Source organism: Homo sapiens, chromosome 12 (genome assembly GCF_000001405.40).
Source record: "Homo sapiens chromosome 12, GRCh38.p14 Primary Assembly".
Lineage (NCBI taxonomy): Eukaryota > Metazoa > Chordata > Mammalia > Primates > Hominidae > Homo > Homo sapiens.
In genome coordinates, this window is record NC_000012.12 from 128,409,926 (window position 1) to 128,423,131 (window position 13,206).

The 13,206-nt window shown below is 41.5% G+C and overlaps 1 protein-coding gene across 3 annotated transcripts in view; it reads left to right on the forward strand.

Annotated features, from left to right (window-relative positions):
* The window catches only part of TMEM132C (transmembrane protein 132C), a 440,742-nt gene that overhangs the window by 142,756 nt on the left and 284,780 nt on the right, over positions 1-13,206 (forward strand). For all 3 annotated transcript variants that reach the window (NM_001136103.3, XM_047429886.1, NM_001387058.1), the window contains exon 2: positions 4,807-5,695. In NM_001136103.3, coding sequence (NP_001129575.2) covers positions 4,807-5,695 — 889 coding nt within the window. The remainder of the gene's footprint in view (positions 1-4,806; positions 5,696-13,206) is intronic.

Consider the following 13,206-nt stretch of genomic DNA (forward strand, 5'->3'; position numbering starts at 1 on the left):
AATGACTAAAAGACACTCTCCACCCAAATGGATCAAGATTATCAAAGAATCTAACGAATTTAGGAATAATAATATGGTGGGGCATTGACTCATTATTTTTGAGTAACATGGGAAAAATGGCTTATCTTATTACTATTTTTTCCAACAAATGAATAAATATAAACAGGAAAAATCTCTAAGGAAGAAATGAGGAATTAAAAAAAGACCAAGATGTCTTGCTTACATTTTATTTATTTCAACGAACAGTTTTATTTTGATACAGTTGGAGTCTTAAAGAAGAGTTACAAGAATAGTGAAAGGAATTTTCATATACCCTTCACTCAGGTTCCTCAAATGGTGACATTTGACCATGTTTCCTTTCACCTGAGTTCCCCTCCACCCCAAGCTGTTTGAGAGTAAATTGCAAGCAAACATAATGCCACTTTATCACTAGTTCTGAATATATATACACACACACATATATATGTATATGTATATGTTTGTATGTATGTATTTTGAGACAGAGTCTCACTCTGTCTCCAGGCTAGAGTGCAGTGGCATGCTCTCGGCTCACTGCAACCTCCACCTCCAGGGTTCAAGTGATTCTCCTGCCTCAGCCTCCCAAGTAGCTGGGACTACAGGTGCACCCCACCACACCCCGCTGATTTTTTTTGTATTTTTAGTAGAGACGGGGTTTCACCATGTTGGCCAGGATGGTCTCGATCTCTTGACCTCGTGATCCACCCACCTCAGCCTCCCAAAGTGCTGGGATTACAGGCGTGAGCCACCGCGCCTGGCCCTGAATATGTGTTTTTTAAAATAAAGATGTTCTCTTATATAAGTATAGTACAATTATCAAAATGAAGAAATTAACATTGATACAAAATTATTAGCTACTTTAGAGGCTTATTGCAAATTTTGCCAATGGTCTCAAAAATATTCTTTATAGGAAAATAAAATTTCTAATCATGTGTTGCCTTCAGTTTTGTGTACCTTTAGACGTCTTTTTATCCACAAATCTGGAACAGTTCTTTCAACTTTCTTCTTAATTCATGACCTCAACATTTTTGATGAGTATAGGCCAATTACTTCATAGAATGAACCTTAGACATTTCCTCATGATTAGATGCAAATTATGCAAATTTAAGCAGAAATACTAGGGAACCGATATTGTCTTATTCTCTGTGTGTGCATGTTGGGGGACAGTTCTCTGTTGGCTGCATTCCTGGTGATGTCAATTTTGGTCACTTGGTTAAAGCACTGCCTGGCAGATTTCTCCACCGAAACCTACCTGTGTGTCCTTTGTAATTCAGTGAACAACTTGGGGCTAACTTGTTGGAAGACAATTTAAGATGATGTGAATCTCCTGTTACTCATGAAACCCTCACCGGATAGTTTTAGCATCCTCTTATGACCTTTGCCTGGATCAATCACTACTGTGAATGTTGTCAATGATCAGTTTGGATCATATCATAAGGAAAAACTGTCGCTTCGATCTGACTTTATGACAGTATCATCGAGTCATAGATTCTTATTTCATTTAATGGCTTACAATCTTTTAACATCATTATTTATTTTGATGCTCAAATTATCTTCAGTGTGTTCAGTGCTGCTGTTCCTGCATCCTTTGGACATATTCTGATCATTCTAAGGGCCCTTCCTCTTTTCTGACACAATAAGATAGGTGTTCCAGGTTCTTCTTGTACTAGGAATGAGACACTTTTCCAAGGAATCCTGGTTTCTTTTAGTGAAGAATGGTATTTAGAAACCAATATCTGGGTACTAGATGTGATTATTGCTCTTGGGATCTCATTGAGGACAGAGTTAAGAAAAACATCTATGTACATACACATGCACACATACATATGTGTACACAATCTACCTCTATTTCTTTATCTGAATATATATATTATAAACTGGAGTTTATATATACCAATCCCATTCTAACCCACTGCAGGTTTCATTTTGCCCATGTCCCTTTCTATATTTGTAACCCCTTCCCTTACGGTGAGACACCAGGCTCCCGGGTTCACAATATGTTTCTTATCTACTTGATAAGAAATATACAGAAAGTAGTTTCAGAATTGCTAATTCGTACTTTTGTCCAAAACAAATTTACTCACTATCATTCAATGTTTGTCTATGATTCTCTGTTGTCTTTAGCCTCAGGATTTATAGCCAAAATATGTGTCCAAAATTACTTGGATTAGTTCTCCCTTACCCTCCTGCAATGTGGTTTTGATATTCATTAATACAATTAAGTTCATTTCTTTCCATTTGTAACCAATTCAGGGTTTTTACTCACCCGTGTTGATATTATTATCATATGTCAAACATTAACATGATTCCAAAGGTCAGAACTATACAAAAAAGCAACACCCTCCATCTTTTCTCCCCATCTTCAGCCCCCTTTATTTCTGCCTGGTTCTCACCCAATCCCTGTTAATAACCAACCTTGTAGACTCTGATTTCTTTTCATGTGAGTTCATGTGTGTTACATGAATGAGACATTTGCTTATCTCCCTGCTATGGTTTGGTTCTGTCCCCACTCAAATCTCACCTTGAATTGTAACAATCCACATGTTTCAAGGGCAGGACCAGGTGGAGATAATTGAATCATGGGGGTAGTTTCCCCTATATTGTTCTCGGGGTAGTGAGTAAGTCTCACAAGATCTGATGGTTTTGTAAATGGGAGTTCTCCTGCACAAGCTCGCTTGCCTGCCACCATGTAAGACATCCCTTTGCTCTTCCTTTGCCTTCCACCATGATTGTGAGGCCTCCCAGCCATGTGGTACTGTGAGTCCATTAAACCTCTTTCTTTTTTAAATTACCCAGTCTGGGGTATGTCTTTATTAGCAGTGTGAAAACAGGCTAATATACTCTGCTTCTTTCTTACACAGAAGTTAGTATACTCAGCCTTCTGCACCATGCTTTTTCACTTAGCAGTATATTTTTGAAAGCACTCCATATTGCTTCATACAGATCTTCTTCCTTTTCTTATTGCAGTTCATGATACTCCACTGTGTGTATTTACTGTAGTTCATTCAGCCATTTTTCTGCATAGAGGTATGAATGTTGTGTCAAAATATTTTGCATTTAAAACCAATGTTGAGGCCAGGCACGGTGGCTCACATATGTAATCCCAGCACTTTGGGAGGCTGAGGCAGGTGGATCATGAGGTCAGGAGATCTAGACCCTCCTGGCTAACATGGTGAAACTCCATCTCTACTAAAAATACAAAAAAATTAGCCAGGCATGGTGGTGGGCACCTGTAGTCCCAGCTACTCGGGAGGCCGAGGCAGGAGAATGGTGTGAACCCGGGAGGCGGAGCTTGCAGTGAGCCGAGATCGCGCCACTGCACTCCAGCCTGGGCGACAGAGCGAGACTCTGTCTCAAAAAAAAAAAAAAAAAAAAAAACCAATGTTGCAATAAATGATCTTGTGTGTATGTGTTTTCTGATTGCCAGAGGTGTATCTTCAGAGTAGATTCCTAGAAGTAAGATGAAAGAGTCAAAGAAAAGTGCAAATGTAATGCCAAGTTCCCTTCCAGAAAGGTCGTACCGCTTTTCATTCTCAGCAGCAATATACTAAGACTGTCTATTGCCTGTCGACTTCCCAACATTGTGTGTTATACTTGGTAATTTTTGTCAGTCTTATAGGTAAGAGGTGGTATTTGTAGTTTTCATCTGTGTTTCTCTAATTGTGAGTGAGGCTCAATAGTTGTAAATATATATATATAAATAATTTTAATATATTTTTGTGAATATCTGTTCATATCCTTTACTCACTTCTCTCTCAATTTTTAAAAATCTTTTTCCTCAAATTTCAAGATCTGTATATTAGGGCCATTAGCCCTTTTAATGTGATATATGTGTTGCAAATATTTACTCCCAGCCTGTTATTTTCCTTTTGACTTTATTTATGGTATTTTTGTAATGCAAATTTTTTAATTATACAGGCAAATTTATTATTTTTTAAATTGCATTTAGATTTTGAGTCATAATTGTGAAGCTCTTCCTAAACCCAGGTTATAGAGGAATTCATCCATGTTTTCTTTAGTGCTTGAAAGATGTAACTTCTTTGATTTATATTGCTGATCCATTTGAAGTTTGGTCTTATGTACGGTGTGGAGTGTGGATCTACTTTTTTCTTAATGGCTGTACAGTTGTCCTAGCACCAGTGATTTAAAAGTCAACATTTGCAGCAGGTGTGGTGGCTTGTGCCTGTAATCCCAACACTTTAGGAGGCTGGGGTTGGAAGACTGCTTGACCCCAGGAGTTCAAGACCAGACTGGGCAAAATAGTGAGACCCCATCTCTATTAAAAAAAATATTATAAAGAAGAAAAAAAACAGTCTATGTTTACCTCAGGATTTGAGATGCTACCTTTATCACTGACTAAACTTCCATATGTTCTTGAGTTTATATATGGACTTCATTCATTGGCCTGTTTTGCTATTCATGTACCAGTGCCATTAAGTACATTTTAAACTCATGCAAATTATTAATAAAATACCCACTTTACTCCTATAGGTAATTTACCATCATTCTGTTAAGTTGAACTCTATGAAACTGCCACCATTCAATGAATCTTACTCTACAGAATTCTCATTTTCATATGTTTCAACCTAATATAACTATATGCATAATTCGTGGACCATGTAGAATCGTTTAATGACTTATTCCAGGAAGAATATAAAAATTCTAGCCAAGTGGGCTTCAGAATTTCTATCCCTCATTTCTAAATGGCTTACAGACCTAACAGCTAATGAGCAGCCCATTAATAATCCTGTCTTTGTCTTTTTCTTTTCTTTCTTTTTCCCTTTTTAGTGATAGAGGGTCACGGGGTCACAGACAACATACAGAGATTCTCCTCACTGCCACCTTACCTACCTGTGAGCTACCACATCCTCAGAGCAGAGACCTCCTTCTTCCTCAAGGAAGCCAACCAGGACCTGCTGCGGAACTCCAGCCTGCAGGCGAGGGTGGAGTCCTTCTTTACCTACAAAACCAGGCAGCCCCCAGTGCTCAATGCCAGCTATGGACCCTTTTCTGTGGAGAAGGTTGTGCCTCTGGACTTGATGTTGACTTCAAACTTTTTAGGTCCAACCAATAAGTTTAGTTTTGATTGGAAACTAAAAGCCCACATCCTGCGGGACAAAGTCTACCTGAGCCGGCCCAAAGTGCAGGTTCTTTTCCACATCATGGGCAGAGACTGGGATGACCACGGCGCCGGGGAGAAGCTGCCATGCCTGAGGGTCTTTGCTTTCCGAGAAACCAGAGAGGTGCGGGGCAGCTGCCGGCTGAAGGGGGACCTGGGGCTGTGTGTGGCTGAGCTGGAGCTCCTGTCCAGCTGGTTCAGTGCCCCGACGGTGGGTGCCGGGAGGAAGAAGTCCATGGACCAGCCGGAGGGGACCCCTGTGGAGCTCTACTACACCGTGCACCCAGGAAACGAGCGAGGGGACTGTGCCGGGGGTGACTTCAGGAAGGGCAACGCCATCCGTCCAGGAAAGGATGGGCTGGAGGAAACCACGTCCCACCTGCAGAGGATCGGCACCGTCGGCCTTTACCGGGCCCAGGACAGCGCCCAGCTCAGCGAGCTGCGTTTGGATGGTAACGTGGTCATCTGGCTGCCTTCCAGGCCAGTCAAGCAGGGAGAGGTGGTCACGGCCTATGTCACCATCTCGAGCAATTCCTCTGTGGACCTCTTCATCTTGAGGTAGGTGCCCATGCTTGCCCCTGATCATCTTTGGCATGCCTGGTGTGAGACTGGGTTCCATGCGTGGCAGATAGATATTCAGGAAGCATCGATTTTCACTACCTTCAGGGACCGTTTGGCATTAACAGGGGAAGGCAAATTATGCACCTGCCCACATGCTCTCAACAGCCCTCCTTACACCGTGGGTTATGGAGGGAAGAAGAGGCAAAGGGCGGGCAGAAATTATTTCCAAAAGGAGCAAGATGAGAGTAATCCGCCTCTCTAGACCTTCAGTTATCCTCACACTTGGAGAGGGATGTGATTTTTCTTCTGCTGTGAATCCTTTGATGAGATACCATTTGAGTTGCTTGATTGAAAGTCTACGTTCAAGAAGCCCAAGAAAAGGCAGGGGAGAGATGAGATCTCACTTTGGGTATATATGTGAAAAGAGCCAAACATAGTACCCTTTTTTTTAATTAGGTGGTGTTAAAGATTGCCAGTTAGTGTCTGGGAGGCCTTACTGCATGAGTACAGCTTAGCAATAATTAAGCAAACATGCCGGGCATAAAACTCTTCAGCAAAGGTATTCCATCTTATAATACAAATAAACAAAGCAGCAGCATAATCCACCTACTGTCACCATGGCGGGTTCAACAGAGAGCAGCATCTGAGCTGTGACAGGGCTGCTCTGTCACTCTGTATAATGATTCTAGAATTTGGTACAGGAGCACATGTTTTCTGAGGATAATTAATACGGGGCTAAAATTCATTTAAAGCAAATCCTCTTACAATGTGTACTAGAATGTCATAATAATGAAAGAAGTATTTGTTTTAAATTTGTTTAAAAAATAAATGGGATAAAAATGTTTTTTTCTTGTTATAGTTAAGAAGGAGTTAGGTTGTAATTGCAGCTATGCTTTGGCTCTTGTTAGAATTCAGCCCTAATCACATTTTGAATGAGTTGCTTGGAAAAATATTTGCAAGCTAGAATGATAGCCTATCATAGCATATTTCATTTCTGTTTAACTTTTGTAATATAGCTATAAGGATGCTTATTTTTAAAGTTTTTTGTTTTTTCATTTACAAAAAGGTTCAGAGGTTTCCATTAGTTTCTCATCTTAATCCTACAGATTCAAATAATTGTCTTCTGAAGTATGCATCTTGTCATGATCTCTATAGTTTTTCCTTTCAATTTTTAAGTAGACTAATTTTGCAGATCTTCATTTGCTAATGTTTTCTGGATACGCTTGGAGGACTGCTATGACACCCCTTTCAGCGACGTCATGAACTCTTACATCTTTTTATGAGATTTACTGTACAAGGGATTCTCATTGCATTTGCATTGTGAACCTTGGTGGTCAGTGAGGGACATGCTGACATCATGGTGGGGAGGGACAGGTCTCGCTGTCAGCGTATCGGCGGCTTATTGAAAGTATCATGACCTTGTGACTGAGGAGCCGGGAGAGTCAATATTCAGAAAAAGGGTCTGAATACTGGGTTTGTTTCCCCATGGCTTGGATTTGAAAAGATGCTGATCTGGGAGCTCTGAGTTTAATTTTTGGTAAGTCCTCTTGCCCCCTGAGTTTCAGATCAATCATGAAATAAATGCATCTATCCCTGGCTTTGGAAGCTGGAGACAGAACGTCTCCAGCATGGCATGCTAAGTAGTTGTAAAATTTTAGAGTGATCATCTTCCCCCTTGCACTTTGTTAATGTCCCTCTTCAGAAAATGTAGTCTCTAGCGTCTACCAGGGTGAGCATGAGCCAAGCCACCTGGGTCCCTAGGTCTAAGGTCCACAACCTTACAGCTGTACCTGGAAGGGATGCTTAGATGGGGCTCTTCAGAGAGGAGGATCTGTTTTCTGAAATTTTCATCACAAAGATAGGCATGGTGGTGGTGAACAAAGGTCTTCCAACCAGCTGACCTCAATTCTGATCCTATCTGTTCTACTTACAGCCTGTGTGTTGGTAGGCAAGTTAACTAACCTCTGTGTGCCTCAGTTTCCTCCTCTCTAAAGCAGATGTAATTGTAGTACCTGCTTCGATGGGGTTGTGAGGATTCAGTGGGCTAATATTTATTTGCAGGGTGCTCATAACAGTGTCTGGTGCACTGAAACTTCTCTGTCAATATTGAATATTACTAACAGGGCTGTTTTTAAACACCCGTCAAACCTTCAATAAGCATTGAATTGTATCTTCGCAGTAAACAGACATTGTGTGTTGTGTAAAACAACTACCAAGTTTATTCTCAAAATTCTATTATTCCCATTGTACTATGATTTTGTTTAAAAAGCAGTGTCTTTGTATAATGACAGGAGTATTTGTAGCACAGAGGTTACTAATGGCGTGGCTCTGGGGTGTAAGACTTAGTCACATTAAAGGGTACTGCTTGGTGCCGTGGAGCGCAGCAGCCGTATTCCCTCCCTTCCGATCTTTGCCATCACAGATCAAAGTCCTGGGGAGAGAAGATCCACCTCACTCCCTGTTCACCAAGATATGGCACGTGTTATATTTCCTTACTTCAGATTTTAAATTCGAAGCAAATTTCCTAAGGGCTAAAAGCAATTGCTCATGAGAAAGTCTGAGCAGCAGACGTTCCCCAAACACGTGTGCAAATGCAAGTCCTTGTGTCTCAGGCGTGTCGGAATTCAACGAATAGGGAACAAACAAACCATCTGAAGACCCGTCTTGGAGGTTCATTCTCATTCTGAAGATGGAATTTCACTGATTAAAAAGGGGATGTTACGGACGGCGTACACATTTCAGAGTCTCGGCTTAATTTGAGTTGCCAAAATGATTGGCAGGCAACAGTGTGGCAAATGGAATTTTGCTCTATGTGGAGTCTCTCTGTTTCTCTCCTTCCCTTAATCTCCCTCTTTCTCTCCCCCTCTGTCCAATTCTCCTGTTTCTCCAACATGACTGAAGGCGCTTCTTTAAACAAATTAACGTTTTATGTTTTTAAATAATTACAGATTTGTAAGAAGTTGCAAAAATAGTACAGTGATTGCTCGTAGACCCCTCCCCCAGCTTCCGCTGGTGGTACCACCTCATATAACCATAGTACAATATTGAGGCCAGGAAACTGGCATTGGCATAACATTGTTAACCGAACTACAGAGGATGTTTGGGTCAGAATGTAGGTTTTAGGGTACCTTATCTCTTTCCAGCTTATCTGTGTGACTGAAGACATTTTCAAAGGCAAGGAAGTTCAGTTGGAAAATTAGTTCCTTGAACACCTGCCAGAGTCTTTTTAGTGTCCGTTAGGAAAAGATGAGCTCGGTCTGCTTCTCCTGTATTTTTTTATTTTATTTTTTTTAAGGAATACAGAGAACTTCCTTCCTGTGCAGAGATGCCATCTTCGCAGGCCCCTAGATACGTTGTGTGTTTCTGTATCATCAATGCAATGTGCAAGTATCCAACCATGACCATTTGCCAGGCATTGTTCTACAGCAGTGAATGAAACAGGCAACACTTCCTGCCCAAGTGAAGCTTATGTTCTAGTAGGCAAGATAAAAATAATCAAAATGTGCATGTGTGCCAAGAAGTGACACAACCAAAGGGCATAGTTAGTACAGCCTCCAAGACTGCACGCCCTTCTTTCTGAATCTGGTATTTGTCAAGAAACCAATAGGTATTTGGGCACCGTCTGCCTTAAGCTAGATAACATCCGAGAGGCCCTCAGAGAGCTTAGCCTCAAGCCAGCTGGCAAAGACAGAGTCCCTGGAATTCCATCCTGCATAAAATGAGCATTATGAACAGCAAACTCTCTAGGATGAGTGCGAAGGCTCTGGACTTCTGTGTGTTGGCTCACAGCTGTGTACAAGAGATGTACAATGCTAGACACTAAGCACCATGGAATTGCACAGTGTACACAGGCTTTGTGTTCAGTTGTCATTCAGTTCTTCTAATGCTACAGTGAAAAGTCTTGTTCTCTGCTAGCATACCTCTAACATCCTGACAGCACCTACTAATCTTGTTTTTTTTTTTTTTTTGGCGAAAGGAAAGACAGGTCACTGTTTCCAAGTCTTCTTCTTTTCTATCTGGAATTTTAGAACTTTGTTCTGCTTTCATTGTTTATGGTTATTTTCTTTTGATAGCCCAAATACAAAACAAACAAAACAGTGGTTTTCCATTTTCACTGTGGATACAATATTTCTTTTCATTCACTTGGTAAATATTGACTCAATTAATGTGTACTGACCCCTGCCCATTTGCCAGGCATTGTTCTACAGCACTGAATGAAACAGGCAAAATTTCCTGCCTGCATGAAGCTGATTTCCTAGTTAGGGGAGATAAAAATAATCAAAATTGGGTTGGGTATGGTAGCTCACACCTGTAATCCCAGCACTTTGGGAGGCCGAGGTGGGCAGATCGCCTGAGGTCAGGAGTTCAAGACCAGCCTAGCCAACGTGGTGAAACCCTGTCTCTACTAAAAATAAAAAAAAAAATAGCTGGGCATGATGGCGGGCACAGGTAATCCCAGCTACTTGGGAGGCTGAGGCAGGAGAATGGCTTGAACCTGGGAGGTGGAGGTTGCAGTGAGCCAAGATCATGCCAGTGAAGTCCAGCCTGGGTGACAAGAGTGACACTCTGTCTCAAAAAATGAAATAATATAATTACCAAGTAAATACAATGGATAGTAATAAGTGGCTTAGGAAAAAATGGACAAGGGAGGAAGAATGGAAAGTGCTGGTAATACAATTTAAGGTGACAGTCAAGGCAGGCTTTGTTGAAAAAGTGGCATTTGAATCAAGCATGGTCTTGGCAGGGAAACACGTGCAAAGGTCCTGGGGATGCTTGCTTGGTTTGTTACAGGAACAGTAAGGAGACAAATGTGGCTGAAACAGAATGGAAGATTGGAGAGGTAGGGGGAGGCGAGCTCAGAGGGGAGCTGGGATTCACATCACCTTGAACTTTGTGAGCCATTGTAAAGACTTTTGTTCCAGGTGAGATGGGGATTACCGGAAGGTTTTGAAGAAGGAATGTCACGATGTAACTTATTTTTATGTATTGCAGTAATCTAGGTGAGAGAAGACAGGGACTTGGATCAGGATAGCAGCAGCAGAGGTGTAAGTGAGTGTGCAGATTCTGGATTAAATTTAAAGCTAGGACTGATGAGATTTGTGGGCACACTTGTGTGAAGGAGACACAGCATCAGGATGTTGGGGATGAAGGACAGAGCTGCCATTCCTGTGATGGAAAGCCTGTGGGAGAGGCAGGTTTTCCCTTTCTAGATAGTGTATTATAATTTTAATGTAATTAAAATATACTTTAATACTTAAAATCATCGTTTTAAGGAAAAAATATTCAAGAAGCGAATAATATAAGAGGATGGGCACAGATGTGGGAATAACAGTGAAGTTGGCATGAGTCTCGCTGAAGTTTGGGAACCAACACTGTATTTTTTCATTGCAGTAGCTTTAGAGGTACAAGTGGTTTTTGGTTATAGGGATGAAGTACACGGTGGTGAAGTCTGGGATTTTAGTGCACCTGTCACCCAACTGGCGTACATTGTACCCAATAGGTAACTTTTCATCCATGAACCACCTCTCACCCTCTCCCCTTCCGAGTCTCTAGCATCCATTCTAGCACTCTGTATGCCTCTGTGTATGCATAGCTAATTGCAGAGATATGGAATCGACCTAAATGCCCATCAGCCAATGAGTGAATAAAGAACATGTGGTGTATATATCATCCATATCTCTCCAGCTGCCTCCACCTATGGCTGCCGGTTAGATCACAGGAGAAATCCACCCAGGTCACAGAATGTTGGATCATCGAGGTCCATTGCTGGATCTTTTCTATTGGGAAATTCATGGAGGACATGCAGGGAGACCTTGAATGATGTCTCCTCACTGAGAAACCCAAAGACTTTCTCCAATGGGTCTTCGCACAATGGTTTCACTGAGAGGGCCTGGACTTCTTGGAAATGTTTATGGGACTAATAACATACATGGAAACTTGGCGTGAACCTTCTTGGCAAGATCATTTTCACAAAGGACGCTCTTCCGTGAGCCAAAAGAAGCAGACTGGATTTTGTTTGCAACTTCACAAAGTGAATTCAAAGGCAACCCTCGCTTTATAATCAAATTAGTTCATGAGACCCAAAAGTCAAGGTGTGGAAGATGGAACCTTTGTTTCTTGTAGCTATAACATTATTTTGGAAGCCGATTTTAAAAAATAAAAAATAAAATAATTACCAACAGAAATGAAAAACACATATGCAGATAGGTTTTACAAATATAAGTGGGTTGGCTCATGAGGGTAAGCCCTTTTTCCATCTCTCTGTTCACTGCTATATCCCCAGCCCTTGGTGTATGACTTGGCAAAAAATAAAGCCCCACTAAACATTTATTGAATAAATGCAAAACCAAATGCCTAATATCAAACCTATTTCATAAACATTCCTTTTCATGGATGTTTTCTTTCATAATTAACTGAGTCTTCTTGAAATAAAGATCAGGATTCCTCAGAGAAAGCATAGGCATTATTTACTTTTCCAAGGATGTTCAAAATATATTGACAATGGAGGTCATCAGTTCTGAAAATTCCCACTGCCACCTCAGTGTACCTCTGTGCTCCTGAACCCCTGGGGATGCTGAGGATGGGATGACTTCCACTGACTGCCTCCCCAAAGCCTAGCTTAGACTGAGCTCACAGAATCACTCTGCTGCCAAAATCAGTGTTAGTTTGACTCAAGTTGCAGGTTGTAAGTAGGTAGGTCAGTCTTGACCCTGCAGGTTATTAACGTGAAGAACTTGCGGGTAGGGGGTGTGAATGTTTGGCCTTGTCAGTAAGCAATGAAATTGATACCTAAAGAGCAGAGGCGGTGATCATTCATCCTCTCCAACTTAAAATAAGCCCACTTAATTGAACAGTGTGATTCATAGACATGGAAGAGATTTGTTCTCTACTTGTAACCAATTCCAAACCCTGCATTAGGGATGCTAAGAGAGTCATAAAGCGTCACTCCTGACTGGGAGATTATACTCTGCTGCTAACGTGAATTTATGTGTAGTAAATAGACACATCCCCATGTCTCAACGCAGTGAAGAGAGATGCTTAGCATAGGGACTGGCTTCTCAATCTCAATATCATCAGCGTTTGGGGCCAGCTAATTCTTTTGTGTTGGGCTGTCTGGTGCATTGTAAAATATGGAGCAGCATCCCTGGACTCTACTCAGTAGAAAAAGTCCAGTAGCACCTCCACCTCTGCTCCAGGTCTGACAACCAAAATGTCTCCAGACATTGCTAAGTCTTCTTTGGGGGACAAAATCACCCTGGTTGACAACCATGAGCCTACACCCTTGACTTGCAGAGAATAGAGATATCTGGGTGGTCTGTGGGATGTGGGCCTTGTGATGGTCCCTCAAACATAACTGAAAATAGAACAGCAATTACATGGCTTCTTTGTCCTTTGCTGGGTGGGTTTTGTGTGTCAGGACTGATAATGGAGCCTTCAGGACATAAATCCTAAGAGATTTGTTTTTGAAGTTAAACACTGTGAAATAAGGAGGTAGTCCTCTCTCACGA